Source organism: Homo sapiens, chromosome 1 (genome assembly GCF_000001405.40).
Source record: "Homo sapiens chromosome 1, GRCh38.p14 Primary Assembly".
Classification (NCBI taxonomy): Eukaryota; Metazoa; Chordata; class Mammalia; order Primates; family Hominidae; genus Homo; species Homo sapiens.
Genome location: NC_000001.11, coordinates 209,216,053 through 209,236,142, shown reverse-complemented (window position 1 = coordinate 209,236,142; position 20,090 = coordinate 209,216,053). Strand labels below are relative to the sequence as shown.

Genomic DNA, 20,090 nt, shown 5'->3' with positions numbered 1-20,090 from the left:
GATTGAAACCCACCAAAACTGGTTGTGGATGGTCTAGGCAGGGTTTAAACCAGTCACAGCCAATCATAGCTGGTTCAGGCAAATTATGGCAGGTCAAAATCAGTCAAAACCAACTGCAGCTGATCAGAGGCAGCCTAAACTGGTTGAAACTAGTCTAAACTGGTCAGAATCAGCCATGACCAGTCAGAACAGGCATAAACCAATTGCAGCTGGTCAAAATGAGTAATGAGTCAAAACTGAGGCTGGGCATAGGTGTTCTAAAACAGTTGTGGCCAATTAAAATAAGTTGTGACCAGCCACAACCAGCTTAAATTGTCTGCAGCCAGTCAGAACTGGTTTGAACTTATTGTGGCCTATTGAAATCAGTCAAAACTGGTTGTAAAAAACCACGACCAGTGAGAAACACAAACTGTGGCCACTGAAAATTGGCCTAAACCAGTTATACCCTATTAAAACCAGTCTAAACCAGTTGTGGCTGGTCATAATAGGTCCAAACTAGTTTGGGACAGTCAAAACGGGTCTAAACCATTTGGAACAGACCAAGACCAGTCAGAAATGGCCAAAATTAACTGTGGCTGGTATAAACCAGCCTAAACCAGTTGTTCCATGTTCAATCTGTCTAAACATGTCATGGTCGGTCATAACCAATCCAAACTAATTGTGGCCAGAAGAAACCAGTCTAAACAGATTGTAGCCAGTTATAGTCAGTCTAAATCATTTGTGGCCAGTTAAAACTCATCTAAATCAGTTGGAAATAGCCTAGACCAGAAAGAACTGGTATAAACAGGCTGGGGCCAGTCACAACTGGTTGAAGCCGATCTCGGCCAGTTTAGACTAGCTTTTAGCTAGTTTCTCCTGGTTTTGACTCATTATGTCTGGCTTCACCTGGTTATGATGGGCAGTGTTCAGGGGTAAACAGCAGTGTCCAGCGCTGACTGCTCATGACTGTTCATAGAACAGTAGCAGCACATGATGAACAGCAAACCATAGATTATTGGAGGTCCTCAAATTAAAAATAAACTCGTGAATTATGGTTTTGATTTGCCTATACCTTGTGAGTAACGATGCTGAACATATTTTCATGTGCTTCTTGGACATTTACAAATTGTTTTTGTAGAAATGGCTACTCAAGTCCTTGCTCAATGTTTAAAGCAGTTGAAACTGGCTTTGTTGTTTCTTCCCTGTGCAGAAGCTTTTTTGCTTGATGTGATTCTGTTTGTCAAATTTTGCTTTTGTTGCCTGTGTTTTTGAGGTCTTACTCCAGAAATCTGTGTCCAGAACAATATTCTAGAGTGTTTCTCCAATGTTTTATTCTAGTAGTTGCATAGTTTTAGGTCTTAAATTTACATCCTTAATCCATTTTGATTTGTTTATATGGCAAGAAATAGGAGTCTAGTTTCATTCTTCTGCATAAGCATATCCAGTTTTCCCAGTACTATTCATTGAAGAGACTATCCTTTTCCCAATGTATGTTATTGATGCCTTTGTTGAAAATGAGTTAACAGTATATTTGCGAATTTATTTCTGGGTTCTCTATGTTTTTTTTTTTTTTATCTTTTTTTAGATGCCCATGCACGTTTCATTAATAAAAACCAACAGCGCCAAGGTAAACAAGTCAAACAATTAAAGTCTCTTTATATTCCATAAAATATTACAGAAAAGTTTGTTTCAATAAAAAGACTCATTTTAGAACAGGCAGCTAATAGCAACCGTGCAGTTAATAGATTTTGTGAATAAATTTTAAAAGACTACTGCCTGTCCTTAAATTCCTTTTTTCTTTTTATAAAAAAAGAACTATTAAAAATGACAAATTTTGAGTTAAAAATTGTTAAAACATTCCCTATATTTAATTTCAATTTTATAATAGATTACAGGAAGATGCTTATGAAACAAATACAACATTTGTTTCAGTACATGTCTTTAAATGATAGACTTGTAAGTATGTAAACAACTATATAATAAAAGGTTTCCAAACGCTGCCTGTAAGAAATCAGGCAAATTTTACCATAAGCAATAAACCATCCCAAGCCTTCCAGACAGTCTCCATAGCTGCACCAGTGTGGCAATAAGCTTTAACCAAACCAAACAAAAACAAACAAAAGCACTTTGCAATTTGTTGCTGCAAAATAGAGAAAGTGTATAAACTTGATGGAATCACAACAGTCAATATAATTTAAGGGAGAATAAAGTCAGTAAGGTTGATGGTGTTTATTGTTTAGAAAGTCGAATTCTGCTGTTTGCTTGGGGTTCTTGGACACCGTACCACTGAACAAATGGACAACTCCGCAGAGTCTCACTATCAGCCAGCGTGGGTGCTGTCCAAACTCACGACAAATAAACGGCATTCGGTGCTCACCATCCACAACAGGAGGGCGTTTTATTTTCATGTATGTGGATGAAATACAATTTCTTCAGCAAACTCAGCAAAAACTGTTAAGGGGCAAAAATTAAGTCTGCACTTAAAAACAGAAAATGAAAACACAAAATCCTAAAAAGTAAATAAATGCTGGGCATCAGCACACTGGTATCAAAACATAGATCCACAGCACGTCCTACTCCCACGGTAAACAATCCTTGCTTATCGGAGGTGCATATCTAAATTCAATGGCTTACCAATATCTTCTTAGGAGTAGGCCTAAAGGAAACAGAAAACCCACATTGAAAAAAAAAAGTTTATTTTCCCTAAACATTTTCCTGAAGCTGAATGTGAAGTGGAGAGGACGTCAGTCGTCCTTGTTGTTCTCGTTGAAGTCGTCCTCCTCGTCATCCTTCCCGACGTAGGACACCGGGGTCTCCACCCTGGAGCCATTGTACTGAGGTTGGAGCTTGTGGCCAGTATCTCATCCACACCATTGGTCAGGTCACTGGCAGAGAGCTTCTTGCCGTTAGACATGGAACGTGCCGTCGTGATGAACACGCCTCCACCAGTTCCCTGAGCCATTTCTGTCACGTACGGCTCCAGAGCCTTTGGGACCAGACTTCTGGCCATTTTAAGGTCTTCGGCAGAGCAGCTCCCGGACTCCAGCCCACAAGCCATGCTCATCCGCTTCAGCACTTCTATGTCATTGTAGATTTCAGATGTGTTGTCAAAATTAAACAGATACTCGAATTTGTCGTTGGAGATGCTGCTGCAGTCGATGACGGTCTTGCTGGTGTTAACGATGATGAAGGGCAGGTGGATGAGCCAGCTGGGCGTCGTTGGCCGGCTGGCCTGCTGCTCCGCGTGCTGGTTTCTCTCTTCACCAGGTTCTTGAAGGCAATTTGCTGTCGAATAAGTTTCTGAAATTGAGATTTTCTGTTTTATTCTGTCAAGTTTCCTCTGTCTTTCCACCTCTAAGTTCTGACATTCCTGAGCCGAGTTGGTGGGCAGACCAACTCACTTGATCTCCTTCTTCTCCTTGGAGATGTTCATGGCCATCAGCACGTTTAAGGCATAGTAGACGCGCCATCGATGTTGCTCTGGTCATAAGCTGACTCGTTTGGTAAGATGTGGTTGCCGGCAGCACTGAATTCCTCTGCCAGCTCGTCCGCCACCTCGTGATAGGAAGTGGTCCCTTTCCACTGCACCTTGTCTCAGACCTTCCTGGAGAAATGCCACAGGCCTTGCCATTCTTCTCTCCTTTCCTGTTGCACTTCCCGGCAGACCAAGGTGAGGAGTCGGAAGGCTGGTTCTGAGAGGCAAAGTGAGTGCTGGCGGTGTGTGGGCTACCTATCACGAGGGTGTTTGACGCTGCCGGTCTCTGAGGCGTACCGGTTACCACTTGCGGGACAACGTTGACATTGGACTGTCCAAAGGTTTTCGGCAAGAGCTGTTTCCCGAGCGGGCTGACGATGGAGGGGTGAACGGCTATGAGGGACACCAATGCCTTTTCCGGGACTAAGGTTCTGGTCTATGAAGACCTTGAGTTCTCCGTTTGCTTCAATTAGACCAGCAACTTTTGCCATGTTACTAAATCTGGGAAATCAATGCTATAAATGGTCACCCTCCCAGAGAAGAAAAATGACTTTTCTGGGCGCAGCCCCTGGGTCCCGGAGCAACGTGCAGACTCGTGGGACCACCCCAGACCCCGGCGGCGCCGGCCCAGCTGACCGGTAATTCTGACAAGTGGGCTTCCGGGGTCTGCGCCGCGCGCCTGTCACTAGGCCTTCGGCCGCCTCTGCAAGCCTCCCGCGCGCGCTGGAACCGGGTACCCGTAGGCTGGGCGGCCTGCCTCTCCTCCCCAACCTTCCGCGCTCCGGCCAACCCTGGCCCCGGCCTCGGCCCCCAATCCGGCGCGGGGCACGGGCGCTGCTGTCAGCCGGGAGGGCCCAGCCCGCGACCCCGGCCCCGCGGTCACCTGAGAAGCCCCCACCGGCGCCGAGCGCGCGGGGTCCGGGAGGGCGCAGGTAGGTGCTGCGCGGCGCCTACAGGGGGTGGGGGCGCGGGACGGGGTGTCCGGGGGTCCAGCCCCGCGCCCCGTGCTTCCGTCCGCTCCGTTGGGCCCCGCCCACGGCATCCCCTACCCGCCGCACCTGGCTGCTCGGCCCGGCCTCGCGGGCGGGGCGCAGGGCGGCGCGGAGAGGCGCAGGCAGGGGCCGGGCCGGGCCGGGTGGTCCCGGCGGTCCAGTCCGTGGACCGGTCCCTCTGGGCCGAGTGGCGCCGGGACCTCTATGTTTATTTTTTTGTGCCACTACCATGCTGTTTTGGCTATTATAACTTTATAGTACATTTTGAAGTCTGGTAGTGTGATGCCTCCAACTTTGTTCTTTTTACTTAAGAATGCTTTGGCTATTATGGGTCTTTTGTGGCTCCGTATTAGTTTTAGGATTATTGTTTCTATTTCTGTGAGGAATATTACTGATATTTTGATAGGGATTGCACTGAATCTATAGAACACTTTGAGTAATATGAACATTTAACAATACTGATTCTTCCAATATGTAAACATGGAATATCTTTCCCCTTTTTTGTGTGTGTCCCCTTCAATTTCTTTCACTGGTGTTTTATAGTTTTCATTCTAGAGATTTTTCACCTCTTTGGTTGAATTGATTCCTACTTCTTTTTCGTAGCTATTGTACATTAGAGCACTTTCTTGGTTTTCTTTTTCAGATTGTTCACTGTTGGCATATAGGAAGGCTATTGATTTTTGTATGTTGATTTTTTATCTTGCAGTTTTACTGAATTTGTGTATCTGTTATGAGAATTTTTTGATGGAGTCTTTAGGTTTGTCCATATATAAGATAATGTAATCTTCAATCAAGAATAATTTGACTTTATTATTTCCAGTTTATATGCCCTTTATGTCTTTTTCTTATCCAATTGCTCTGGCTAGGACTTACAGTACTATGTTGAAAAAAAGTAGTGAAAGTGGGCATTTTTGGCTTGTTCCGTATCTCAGGTTTTCCCAGTTCCATATGACACTAAACTAATTGCACCTCGTAAGAGAAGGTCTAACGTGGTTGTGGCCAGTTGAAACAGGACTGATTTGGTTGGAACAGGCCATAATCAGTCTGAACTGGTGTAAACCAAGTATAGGCAGACAAAGCTGGGCAAAACTGGTTGAGGCCAGCCATAGCCAGTCTAAAGTGGCTGTGGCAGTCATAACTAGTCTAAACCAGTTGTGACCAGGTGTAATTGGTCTAAGCCTATCAGAACCAGCCATAACCTGGCAGAACTGGTATGAACAGGTTGAGGTTGGCCCAAACCAGCCAAAACCAATTACAGATGGTCAGAACCAGTCTAAACTGGTTGTGGCCTGTCATAGCTATGGTCAGAACCAGTCTAAACTGGTTGTGTCCTGTCATAGCTATGCAAAACCAATTTTGGCCAGTTGAAAACTGGCTTAAACTTACTGCAACTGGTCATATTCAATCTAAAGGGCATTCTTCAATGGAAAATAAGAAAGTCAAATCATCTTTGAAGATGATGTGATCTTCTATATGGGAAAACCTCAAGACTTCATCAGAAAACTCTTAGGACAGATAAACAGTTAAGTAAAGTTGCAGGATACAAAATCAACATACAAAATCAATAGCCTTCTTATATGCCAACAGTGAACAACCTGAAAAAGAAACCCAGAAAGTGCGCTAATGTACAATAGCTACAAAAAAATAAGTAGGAAAAACAACCGAAGAAGTGAAAGATCTTGGAATGAAAACTATAAAACACCAATGAATGAAATTGAAGAGGACACACACACAAAAGGAAAAGCCATATTTGTAGATTGGAAGGATTGAGAGGACACCAAGAATGGGGACATGGTGGAGGAACAAACAAGACAGCCCAAAGGCAAATTTTGCTGGCTGTGCATTTTTGCTACAAGCTGTCTTCAGAGATGTAGACAAGGAGTTGGCGAGAGTTGAGGGGATATAGAAAGAAATTGGTGAGAATGACAGATATAATTCATCTGGAAAATAAATGCCTGGGGTATTTCCTGAAAGGCATGCAGGTGAGAAATATGTGACTAAGAGATGGCTTGTTCCAACAAGTACCCTATGGTATCTGGCTGTGCCCTGAAGTCATAAGCAGAGTTATTTGATCATATGACATCTGTGGAGTGATGGTAACTGTTAGCTTTAAGTAGACAGAGAATCTGTGCTGGGGCAGGTGTGTTTGTGCATGGAGGGCAGATGAGGATTGAGAGAGAGGAGTCGTGTATAATAAGTCCTAAAGGAGAGAGAATGCAGCTAAACAACTCAATAACTCTGTCCTAGTTTCAGCTCCATCAATGCAAGGGCAAAGCATTGAAATTAGCCTTCAATACAGTTTATTTGTTGCTATCTAAATTCCAATTTTTTTTTTTTTTGTCAAGTTGGTCCATTTGCATGCAAGGTTGCTAGCTCTAATCTACTCTGATAATGGCTTGGGTAAGCAGGTTGAAAATGTCTTACTCCTCCCTAAAGGCTCACAATGTAGAAAGGAAGGAGAGTAAAGCAACCTTTTCATAATTAAACAAGGAAGAAAATTACATCACGTTTTCATACTTTTCATTTTTTTTTCACCTCTCACAAATTTGGATGCTGAACTAGGGTTGGCAGGAACATGGACTGGAGAAGGTGGGTGACATGTTTCTTGGAATTCAAACTTCTCTTTATCACGAAGGCTTAGTAATGCTGCCCAGCCAATTTCTGCATTAAACAAACACAAATTGAAGGAGAGGAACATTATTTAATCTCCCCATGGCCAACATCCACTAATAACCTAGATTTTCCTGAACCTAAATCTTTTATACAGCTAATTCATCATCTTCTTTTTTTTAAATGGATTCTTCTCTAAGATTTATTCTCAAAGATACTTAATTCTTTCAACTAACTGATGAGATCGTGAGCTAGTGACACGGCTGAAATTTTATATTCTCCTTGTAAGAATTGAACACCACTCCTTTCAATTCCAATCCATTTCATTTAGTTCTGTTCTCTGCTGTCCCATTTTCCCTCTTGTTTCATTCTGGAAATCTCCAGAGTCAGATCTTGAACTTAATACCCACTTTGAATGCCTAGATCAAGACTGCATTTTGATGGTCTGGGTTAAAACTCTACAAGTGTTTAATTCCTTTAACCATCCCATTATCAACCTCTTCCACCATCCCTTTCAGACACTAAACATAGAATAAATGGGATGCATTTACTTAAAAGGTCAGGAGCTTTGTGAATGGCCAGCCAGCATTGGGGCATCACCAGAAGGAATTAATAGAAAGGAAAGCCAGCCCAAGGGAAAATTTTAAATAGGTGAAATTTATTTAAATTCACTTAATCTCTCTTTTCCTCAACATCTTTCTTTCTTCATATGACTCCTTAATTAACTTCCGCCTTTCTCTTTTCTAGCCCCACAGAGTGTTCGTGCTACTTTCTGGCTCTCCTAGACTATATATATATATCTGCCTTGTATAGCACCACCATGGATGCCTGACCCCTCCTTCTCATCCAGATATAGTCACAGACCTCGCTCTCTAGAGTCCTAAGTAAACACTAGTTAACTGGTAAGCTCAACTGTACCGGACAATAAAGGGTTAATATGGTGTTTTCTCCTGAGGATTTTGAATTTCAAAAGGAGACTTCAGAAGTGATTTAACCCAAAGGAATGCATATCTTTTGGTGGAATTCTAGGCACCTTGGTAGAAAATTTTTGAGTTGAGTGGCCCTATTGCTCAGATGCCACCATGTATGTCATTTTCTATGTTGTCTCTAATTAAATTCAGTTCTGCCTCTGGGACTGTAATGGAGAAATTTTAGATAGGTATGCTTTCTAAGTGAATTACTGACTTTATTCACTTATGCAAGCCACACCATTTGTTCATTTAATAGAGATTTACTGAGCATCTACTATATTGCAAGTTGTGAGAGGTGCCTTGGATATACCTGATGAATAAGACAGTATGGCAGGTAGTAAAATCTGAACAACCAGAGTTCACTTCCTGGCTTCCTCTAGGGAAGGAATATTTGCCAAACCTGTCCCATTCATAAAATAAACAAACAAACAAACAAAAGGATGAAGAAGATATATCACACACTTGAACTTAATCCATGCAGCTCGCTTACTGTGGCTCAAGAAGAAAGGGTTTGGAAAAACAGGATAAATACTTCAGTCAGGGCGCGCTGGCTGCTGAAGCACATTTAAAAATCAAATTACCATTTTAATGGTATGCATCGTTTCCATATCAAATGATAACATTATTGGCAAAGACTAGAAGGTGACACAACTTTGAGTGCTTAAACTGTCCCAACAATAGATGAAGCTATCTTAAAAGGACTACAAAGCCACTCCACCATCTGGCACCCTCTCTCTCGCCATCCTGGTGGGGTTGGGGAAAAAGAGCGCTTCCAAGTGGTGAAATGAAATGAAATTGGCTTGCCCTGAGGATGCACGTTGAGGAGGGCCTGTTCGGCCATCTGACATTCTTCTTACTGTAACTGCATAAAGGGATGGCTTCCCAAGCAACAGTCTTATAAACAAACTATTTTTTATTATTACAAGTAGACAGGTTTACTACAAGTTTATTTTGAAAGCACAGCAGAACACAAAGCAAAAAAATAGAAGTCATTTATAAAACCTGGAAATAGCTAATATTGATATTTCAGTGTATATCCTTCCAGTCTTTAAAATTTCCTGTGTGCATTCGTGTGTGTGTGTTTATGTGTGTATGTGTGTGTTTTCAAAGCAAAAATGAAATCAAACTGTATTATTTTCCATTTAACTCAGGCTAACTTCATGAGCATGTGGCCTGTGCTTGGTTTAATGCTCTGCTGTTGCCATCATGAAATACTTACTTTTATCTTTGGACCTGTGTGTTGTCCGATGGGAGTGGAGGAGATGCACGCAATATGGGTGGCTCCTGTTCTTGATGCCTCATTTGCATACAGTGTTCACAGTGCTCCATGAGCACAGAATTCCGATGGGTCCACAACGAAAGGGACTTTATGATACTGAAAGCAAGCATGAGGTAAGCATGTTATATCTATAACTGAATGCTCACCATCCTGAGGGACTGTGCTTTCCACTTGAACCAGAGCTTGCTTCTAATGCAGAGAGAAGACAATGGTGTTTTAAGAAACATGAAGGACCAAGAAAACTTATCATATCCTTTCTTACACAGGTTACCTCCCTGTATTAGCCAAGCACTTGAAATGATGACATAGAAGGAAAAATAGGGCAACCTGTAATTCCTTTCCTCTCAGTTCTTCCTTACTCTTCAGTAAGCCAAAGGTAGAGGGTGCCGGTAGACTGTGGGTACATCAAGAAGTGAAATAAAAACAGTTGAGTTTACTTTGTGAACTCATTTCCATGTTCTGGCAAGAGAGAAATACATATGTATATGAGAATTTCAAAGTAGAAATTGTATAATTTTGGTGATTCTAAAAAAGAAATGGTTTTATTTACATTTTAAACTTGCACCACACAACAGAAAGATGAATGGTACAATTCATGCTAATAAATTAAATTCTAAAATTTTATTTACTTAACAACATTAAATAGCAAATTAATAATTTCATGTCAAGTCAAATGAGAGACCACGGAAGAAAGGAAAGATACTTTTTTCTGTTTAGGGGCCCGTCATTTTCATTTTCCACTGGGCCCTGTGAACTATATAGTCAGCCTTGACTGAATGATATATTGTGATCATTTTTTTCAAATCATTAAATATGATTTATTTTTATTTTTTATTATATGTTTTGATAGACTTTATTTTTAGAGAAATTTTAGGTTTACAGCAAAATTGAATGCAAGATACAGACAGCTCCAATGTACGTCGTGTCCTCACACACACACAGCCTCCCCTGTTATCAATATCCCCCAACTAGAGTGGTAAATTTGCTATAATTGGTAAACCTACATTGACATATCATTGCCACTCAATGTCCACAGTTTACATTAGAGTTCACTGTTGGTGCTGTACATTCTATGGGTTTGAATGAATGTATAATGACACATATCCACCATTTTGGTATCTTACAGAATAGTTTAGCTGCCCTAAAAATCTTCTGTGCTCCATGAACATGATTTTAAAAGATTATTACTACCATCTGCATAGTAAATGGCTTCAATTGATGAATTTACTTAACTTATTTTCTATAACTTTTTGGACATTTAGAAGATTTACAATGTGTTTCAATTAGTTGGTTATTACGGTATGAGGAAAATATCTGTATGTAAATCTTTATATACATCTATGGCTGTTTCCTTAAGGAAATTCCAATAAGTAGAATTGCTAAGTCAAATGATATGTACATTTATAAGCATTTTGAGATATAGTGACACAGTTCTCCTGGGAAAGTTGGTAACAATGTCCAATTTCTCCCTTAATACAGCAACCACATTCAGTACTTCATCTATCCCTTTTTTGTATCCATGCATTCAGTCTTTGGTGTTTTTTCACCCATTTATTCTTTCATCAACAATCCCTACTCTCTGTCAGGTACTGTGTCAGGAAGGTACTGGGCCAAATGATGAAGACTTGACTTTATGGAACTGACAGTCGAGTGGAAAAGGTCAGACTGAAACAACCCCACAAATACCTATGTATTTACAAATTGCAGTGAGTTCTGTGAAGGGAAAGGCTGGAATGGTTTTAGAGCATTGAGCTGGCATCTTCACTTAGTTGGAGTGTCAAGACATGTTCCCCTGAAGAGGTCATAGCTAGGTGAGACTTGAAGGAAAAGTCGAAGTTAAGTTGGTAAAGGGAAAGAGAAGGAGAATGGAAGCGTGACAGATAGACGACCAGCCTGAGCAAAGGCCTGTGGCAGGAGGGGTGAAATCATGGAAGCAAAAGTCCAGTGTGGTTGGAGCACAGAGGGCAGAGGGGAAAGTTGAGAGAGACAAAGCTGGAGGCATGGATTAGGCCAGAGGTCCACAAACCGTGGCCACCAGGTTAGATCCAGCCTGCTGTCTATTTTTATAAATAAAGTCTCATTGGAATACAGCCATGCTCATTTGTTTCTGTATTGTCTACGGCTGCTTTTGAGTTACAATGGCAGAGGTGAGTAGTTCCAACAGAGGCTGCCTGACCCCAAAAGCCTGCAATATTTACTGTTACGCCCTTTACGGAAAAAGTTTGCCTACGGCTAGACAAGACCATGCAAGGTCTTAAAGTCCGTAGAGAGGTTTCATTCTTTACCCTGGAACAGTGGGAAGTGATTAAAAGGTTGAAAGGTATAGGTAGCATGTGATTTGTATTTTGGAATGGATTGGAAGGTGCAGAGGGAAACGCAGGGAGACCAGTGAAGACTGTCACAGTATTCCAGGCGGGAGCCAATGGACCCTTGCAAGAGGGTAGTGGCTTTAGAGACGGAAATTGAAAGATATTTGAGAAGCAAAACCAAGAGGATATAACATGATGGGAGAGGGAGAGAGTTATCAAAAATTACCCCTAGGTTTCTGTTTAGTACAATTGCATGAACCATGGTGCTCTTCACAGAAATAGGGAAGACTGGAAAAGGACCAATTGAGAGTGCCCAGGGAGATATTAATGAGTTCAGTGTGAGGTAACTTTGAGATAGCCAAGAGGATTTTGAACAGGCAATTGGATAAAGGTTTCTGTAGCTTAGAAAAGTAGTGAATACTCCCCATTGTAATTTGGCCAAAAACATACTTAGTATCTCATTATATATTTTCTACTGGGTTTATATTTGCCACTGACTTTTCAATGCAAAGAACATTTATTTAGTGTCTATGATGTGCTAAGCACTTGTGAGTTACTGCAAGAGAATACAAATACAAATAAAATATGCTTTCTATTCTCAAGATTACACAATCTACAATATAAAGCAGTCACTAATGAATGGTACTAGAGTTGAGCCCAAAAATGCTATGGGAGCAAATAGTAAAAAGCAAAAATGAAACCAAAATGATAGGGGAAGTGCAATTAATTCTGTCGGGTGAGAAATCTACAAAGAAGGTGGTACTGGAAAAAGGATAAATGGGGTTTCAGATGGTAAAGAGGGGGTGAGGTCAATGCATACAGGGGCAAAGGGAATGGGGTTTCAGATGGTAAAGAGGGGTGAGGTCAATGTTTACAGGGGCAAAAGGAATAGCATGAGCTGGGGAATGGAGCTGAGAAAGGTTATCAGTTGCTGGTGGGCAGTTCTTCTGAAATAAAAGAAATTTGTGATTTTCCTATTCTTACTAAACCCAGGAGTCCCCGCCTGAGCTTAGAACAATATTTGGCACCCTAATTCTGCTTTGGTTGACTCTAATCTTCATTTCCGGTGAGCATATGGTGCTTTGCCACCCATATTGTAGTTATGAGATCTTATCTGATTCCTTACTCCCATAGTGAAATAATTAATTGCTTTATCCTTTTGCACTCTCATATTATTTTATCTTTTATACTTAAATTGCTCTTGTCACACACTATTGGGGTTAAATATAGATGCATTTCTCTATCTACCAGGACATGAACTTATTAAGGGTTGCTGTTCTGTCTTCTACATCTTTGGGCCCTCAGTGCCTAGAACAGTGCAAAGTAACAGCTACAACAATGGCGAACATCCGCCGAATCAAATTAAATGGAAGACAGAAACTTCTGGCTCCAGTGCTGGTGTTTGAGTGATCTAATGAAAAGTCAGGGGCTACATGCTGGTGAGGACTGGGAGAAAGAGAAGAAATTGAATTTGAATAATTGAATTTTAAGAAGCAGGCATATGCTTCTGCTGTAACCTCCCCACACCAGACAGCATAGCCCAGATGCAAGTCAAAATGCATTATGTATTTAATGTGTCTCATGGGGTTGGCATCCGAGATAATACGAAGAGAAGGCAGGGTTTATAATCAAAGTAGTAACATCTAAAGACATTTAGCTGGTGGTGAAAGATCAGGGCATATCTTTGGATATTTAGTCAATCTTGTGTGGAGAAGAGTGGATATGATTGAGGGATGTGTGTGTGTTGGGGGGGTGTGTTTGTGTGTGGGTGTAGATAATTTAGAGACAGAAGAAATGAAGTGGAAAAATCAGGATTTCTGGGGCAGGTGTTTCTTGGAGTTTTGGGAGTTGGATGTCAATTCTGATAGTTGGTACTGATGTATGGGGCTCGAATTTGAGAATAATAAAACTATTTTGCCCCCGGGAAACAATGTGTTGTTTCCCAGTTTCTCCTGAAGTTAGGGCAAGAGAAAATGAGATTTTGTGGAACCAATAAGAAATTAAGTTATGAGGAAGAGGGAAGATATCTAACACCTGCCATATGCCAAACACTTTGTCTTCTTAAATACACCTCCAATAGAGTTATAAGTGAGGTATCAGTATCTATGTTTTGAGTGAGAGAAAATGGAGGACCAGAGAGGTTGAATAACATCCTTAATATCACAAAGCTGAGAAGAGGCAGGGTTGGGGTTCAGACTCACATTTGATTAATTATAAAGCCCCTGATTTCATCACCACCCTCTCTTATCTTCCTAGATTCTGAAATCTGAAAAGTGACTGTGAAGCTTTTGTGTGATACCCTCCTACACAGACATGTGAGGGGTGGCAATATAGGTGTTGTCATGATAGGGACTCATTGTTATTGAGGGTCAGGCAGATAGATAGCCTTAGTGAGCTCTGGGTGCCTCATTTAGATCTACAGTATCCTTATGAGTAAGCCCTAAGTTCCCTTGTGATGCTGTTGTACTAGAAAAGTTGTGATTTTCATCTAAAGGTCTTAGAACTGCCCTCTAGATTCCAAACAGAGAGACAGAAAAGAGAGGATAAAAGGAAGTTGAGAACTCCCAGGACACTAAAGGCTGACAAAACTCTAGTTATTGTACATTACAAACTATTTTCATGATCATTTAATGCAGTGCTTTCACTTTACAGATAAAGACACTAAAGCCAGGGACTGACTCCAGAAAATTTATTTCAAAATATCAAATACACCCTTGTGGTCTTGCTACAACCCCTTTCAGCACGTCTTCACCTCCCTGGACATTTCCGCTCCCCAAAAGCACATGACGCTTATCACTTTTTATAGGGCCTTTCCCCCAGAGAGTTCTCAAATTCAAGACTTGGTAAGGTCTGAACATATTACCCTTATTGGATTTTCTATATTTAAGAAATCTAAATGTCCCTCATTTAAAAAAAATATATTCTCATAAAAATTTTATAACATAAAATTAATATAGGAAGGATATCATTTTATATTCTTCCATCCAGACACAACCATTCTTAATATTTTAGTAACAGTTTCCTTCCAGTCTTTTTTGCTTTTCAAATGTATCCTTGTTTCCATGTTGCATTAGGAAACAATTTGAATAGGAGAGTTCAAAACTAAATTTCAGGCATGTGGGATCGATGTTTGGCTCTGTGAATGCACACACACACACACATACACACACCATATATATATATATATATATATATATATATATATATATATATATATAAAAAATATATATTCAGAATTGTCACTATATATGTGTGTGTGTATATATATATATATACACACACACACACATATATATACACACACACACACACACACACACACATATATATATAATGGCCCCAGAGTGGTGTATGCTGGCACCAATGTTAGTGGGCAGTGGGCCCAGGCAGGCCAATATATATATATATATATATATATATATATATATATATATATATATATACACACACACATACACACACACATATGTGTAAATATATATATATACACACAATGTGTATATATATATGTGTATGTGTGTATATATATATAGAGAGAGAGTGTGTGTGTGTGTGTATGTGTGTGAATATGTGTGTGTGTAGGGGTAGAAAAGGCTGGAAAGTTGGGTTTGGGGCGATGGTAGTAAACCCAACCTAGCATCTTTGAAATCCATGGCATGAGTGGCTGCCACAACTCTCTCAGACCTGGGGCTGAGTGCTTTCCTTGGCAAAGGGGTGCCCAGCAGCCCCAAACACTTAGCATAATTCATGTCCTTTGGGTGTCACTCAAATGGGGACCACAACGTGATCAAATGGTGGCTGGATAACCACGATGTCTGCTCCTGCCATCTCTGCTCATGAAAAACTACTCGGAAAAGAAGAAGCAAGAAACAGAATTTAAAAAAATTCATCCAAGAGGAGTCAGACTCCTTCGGGAACTCATCAATGCCATCTTGTCACTGGTCAAAGACAGAGCAATTGAGAGATCAGGAGCTGAGTTATCTGCTTTCTCAGTCCAGAAAGAAGAAAACTGGCTCCGTCAGGGCCAGCCGAAGGAACATGCTTCCAGGATCACACAGAGCGCCTCAGCATTTCTCGCTGTCTCCACTGTGTTTTTCCATTGACAATTCTGAAGCCTTGCCACAGAAACCAGCTGTCTCTGTCAACCCCAGCGTTTTCCTGTCTCTCACGCTTTCCCTCGCTTTCCATCACACAAAAGAGTTCTGTTAACTAGAAGCCTTTGCAGTGTGGCTGTTGAGGTCGTGGTGGTTAGAGCCCCTGTTGCACAAAGCTGCCGGTGGCTGTCTGGGGCTCCAGACATTTTTAAGATCAAAATCAGGAGGAAAAAATATCAAACCACTTTTTGAAGCTGCTGCTCCAGCGTTCTTTGGAGTGCCCAGTCTCCTCCCTACGCACAGCCCCAGGCACTGTCTGACCCAGCGTTTTATGCACTTATGCTCCAGAACATTTCCAAAAATACACACCCACTTTAACAAAAAGTCATCTGAGCCAGTGTTCCCTTGGCGGAAGGAGGCTCTGTTTATGCTCTAAGTCCTCTTGGTTCCAGGAGACGAAGATGGGAGGGACGTGAAACCCCCAGTTGGGTGGGCAACAGCCTCGTGCTTGTTAGTCCTCTCACATCCCCACCAGATGGAATGGCTTTCTCTGAATAAAATGGCTCCCTCTGGATAGAATGGCTCCCTCTGGGTAGAACAATTCCCCTTGACTAGGAGGGTTCCCCTTAGGTAGAATAGTTTCCTACCCCCACCCTCCCACCCCCACGCCACCCCCACGCCCCCCCACCCTATCGCCCCCCCACCCCCCCACTCCCCCCCTGCTGGGGTAAAATGGCTCCCCCCGGGTAGAATGGCTCCCCCTGGGTAGAATGGTTCCACCCGGGTGGCCTGGGTAGAATGGCTCCACCTGGAATGGTTCCACCTGGGTAGAATGGCTTCTTGTGGGTAGAACAGTTCTCCTTGTAGAATGGCTTCCCCTGGGTAAAATGGCTCCCTCTGGCTGAGCTTCTCCTGCCTCAGGACTCCTATGGCCATAGACTGCAAGGAGGAGCCCAAAACCTCTAGGCAACAAGCGGGTAACAATTCTAGTACCTCCACCCACTGGTTGGTGTGACCTTGGACACATCTTAACATTTTTGACCTTTGGTCAGTTTTCTCACCTATAAATTGAGACTAATAGCACTTCTCTACTGGATTTATGAGAATTAAGGTAGCAACATATGCTTAAAGCCTAATACAGTGAGCACATGGTCAATTTGTGGATACAATAGCAGGTATTACTATATATAAGTTATTACTATGTCTTTCCATATCTTGATCTCCCTCCTAGTTAGGGATTCCATATGACTCATCCAACTTTTTATGTGAGGGAATCCATGTACTTAGACACATAAAGAATAGAAACATCCGATAAGGTAAAAATCTGAGCCCTAGGAGTTGCCCTGCCCCACGAGCCAGACACAGTCCTGCTACTGGGCACAGAAGAAGATGACCCGAGGCTTAGGGCCCTTAGAAGGACTTCATGCCTCCAAAGATTCTTCCTCAGTCTGACTGGCTGATGCCAGAACTCCCACCACAACAGATTCTTTTCTATGATCTCTGTTAAAGAAATAATTCCCCAGAGGGCTTACACATTATCAGACATTTGTCCTTGCTTGTGACTGGGAAGGATGTTGACAGAAAAAAAAAAAGAAATCTGTGGCTGTTTAAAAGTCAAGTAGTCATGGAGTCATAGTCAGACCTGGGAGGAACTTTCTTTGAGATCATCCTATGGTTTTTTGTTTGTTTGTTTTTGTTTTTGTTTTGACAAGAATAATCTGAAACCCAGAGGCTTTTAAAGTTGCTGCAAAGGTGCTGTGCAGTGTGGGAAAAGACACATGAAGCAGAAACCTGGGAGTCTGGAAGACCAACCTTACTGAATTTTAGAGATGCGCCTCCAGGCCATCCATATCCATGTTCTCTCCCCCAGTTTTAGAATGAGATTTTAGAACAACTTTAACTCTGTGGAATTGTGAAAAAATTCAAATGTCAACAGTATAAGTGGAGTTTATACTGTATATAGTAAAATAAAATTTAAACCTTATGTTAGGAATGTTCTGAGGTAATTTTAACATAGGTAAGTCTTGATTCCTCAGCTTACTAATGGAGTTCCAGGGCAGAGTGTGTTTCTTTCATATCCAGGCCCCTTGTCCACACCTGGCTGTCCTGGTGTGTCTGGCATGGAACACAGCCAGAGGTGGCCTTGGCTGCAAGTTGTTTGTCAGAATGACAGCCTTTTCTGCTAAATGCTCCCTCCCTCTCATGCATGCTGGCACCAAAAATGCCAGAAAATGAAAACTGCAATAAGTAAAGGACACTTGCCTGTCTGCTTCAGTATCAGGTTAGAGGTCTCCAGCACACTCTCCTTTCCTTTACTCTTCCTTCCCCATGGAAAGGGGAAATTGGAGGAAATTTTCTGTGGGAAATTGAAGAGTAACCTGATTAGGTCAGACTAAATGGGGACGTTTTCTAAATGGTCTTTTGAAGTCAGCCTTCTGCCTGTCCCCATTCCCTAACCACCCCACCTCTAACACATGGAGGAATGAGGAACATGTACTTGGAAAATTCACTAGGAACTGGCTAAAGGAATTATCAAGAGAGAGAAGTCATGAATTCACCAGTATATATTGAGCACTTGCCATGTGCCTGGAGCTCTGCTAGTTATCAGGTGAGGTGCAAATATGGCTGTTCTGTAGTGTACAGTGATGGTGAGATGGGGTTAGAGATTTAAAAAGAAGATTATTTGAATATTTGGTCACTTTATGGTGTTCTGTATATCATCAAGGCTTTGCTCATTCTTTTTAATTCTTTTTTAAAATTTTTGTCTGACTGTGTTATTTCAAAAGGCCTGTCTTCAAGTTCTGAGATTCTTTCATCTGCTTGATCCAGCCTATTGAAGCTTTTGGATGTATTACATTTTATATTTTATTTAATGAATTCTTCAGTTCCAGAATTTCTATTTGGTTCTTTTTTATGATGTCTGTCTTTTTTGGCAGATTTCTCATTCATAGTCTGAACAGTTTTTTTCTGAGTTCTTTGTATTGTTTTGCAGCATTCTCTTGTATCTCACCGGGCTTCTTTAGCATCAATAACCTGAATTCCTTCTTTTCAGGATTTTGTGTATTTCGTTTTAATTGGTATCCGTTGCTGGAGAGCTAATTGCGTTCCTTTGAAGGTGTCATATTTCCTTATTTTTTCATGTTTCCTGCTCTTATACTGATATCTGTGCATCTGGTGTAACAGTCACTTGTTCCAATTTTTTGAATTTGCTTTTGTAGAAGACTTTTTCCTGAGGATGAATCTATGGTGTTAGTTGAATAAAGCATTTGGCTTTGATTCTGAGTGTGTGCAGTAGTGTAGTCTCTATGTAATTTCTTTGGCTGTAAACAGTGTCAGTGGTATCTGTAATTTTCTTGGTGGCTTAATGGAGGATGTGGAGAAGTTTTGCTGGGGACTAGAATGGCAGGTGAGCTAGTCTTTAGGCTCCAGTGGTGGCAGTGGTGGGCCAAGCATGTTGGTCCTTGGGTCCCTGAGTGGTGTGTGCTGGCACCAATGTTAGTGGGCCCAGGCAGGCTAATTCTTGGCCCTCCAGGTGGCTTACTCAAATGCCAGTAGTAGCAGCAAGGGGTCAGCCTGGTGGATGGGTTCTTATGCCCCTGGGCAGATGGCGTGGTCTGGAAGTTAGCAGTGTCAGTGGCAGGATGGTCCTCTGGGTCCAAGTGGTCTGCACTGGTGTTGGCAGTGGCTGCAGTGAGCTGGGCTGGGCAATCTCCAGGCACACAAGAGGCACATACAGGTAGTTGCCAGCTGTAATGGTAGCAGCCTGGTAGTTAAGTCCAACTTCAGTCTCCCAGGAGAAGTACCAATAGTGGTGGATTGGGTTGGGCAAGAAGTACCAATAGTAGTGGATCGGGTTGGGCAATCTCCTCGTTCCCAGACTGTGTGCTCTGACATGGGGGGAGTGGCAAGGAGCGGGAGGACTTGTTTTCAGCACTCCTGATGGTGTGAACAGGCACTAGCCATGGTAAACAGGGGTGAAGCAATTCCCAGGACACCTGCATAATGCTTGGGTGGAAGCAGCAGTGGCTGCACTGCCTCCCTGCCACTGGAGAGAGTGGTGCTTCCTTCAGTGATGGCGGCCTAGGCTGGCATGTGGGGAGCTCACATGCTACTCATGCCTCAGCCCCATTGGCAAATGCACCTCTGTTGCTGCTGCAGTAGTCTGTGCCTCGGTCTTGCCTTTGCCCCAGGAGCAGTAGACCTGTGATCACTCACATTTAAGCCTGGCACCTAAGCCCTGGAGTTAGCAGCTTCTCTTGCACCTTAGTCCCCACACTGCTGGGCCCCCAAAGAGTTCACAGTCTATTGGGGGTGGGGCTCTAAAATGGTGCTTTGCTGTAGCTGCTTAACTCTCAGGGAGGGTGTGGACCCAGAACAAGCA

The 20,090-nt window shown here is 42.1% G+C and overlaps 1 long non-coding RNA gene and 1 pseudogene across 2 annotated transcripts in view; one reads left to right on the top strand and one right to left on the bottom strand.

Annotated features, from left to right (window-relative positions):
- The window catches only part of LOC105372896 (uncharacterized), a 55,293-nt gene that overhangs the window by 30,584 nt on the left and 4,619 nt on the right, over window positions 1-20,090 (top strand). The window contains exons 3-4 of one of the 2 annotated variants that reach the window (XR_922530.4): window positions 7,804-7,958; window positions 9,179-9,419. This is a non-coding gene — a long non-coding RNA (uncharacterized LOC105372896). Of the gene's footprint in view, window positions 1-7,803; window positions 7,959-9,178; window positions 9,766-20,090 lie in introns of those variants that run through there. The other variant, XR_922529.4, reaches the window with a different exon arrangement.
- Window positions 1,626-4,030, bottom strand: TFDP1P1 (TFDP1 pseudogene 1; annotated as a pseudogene).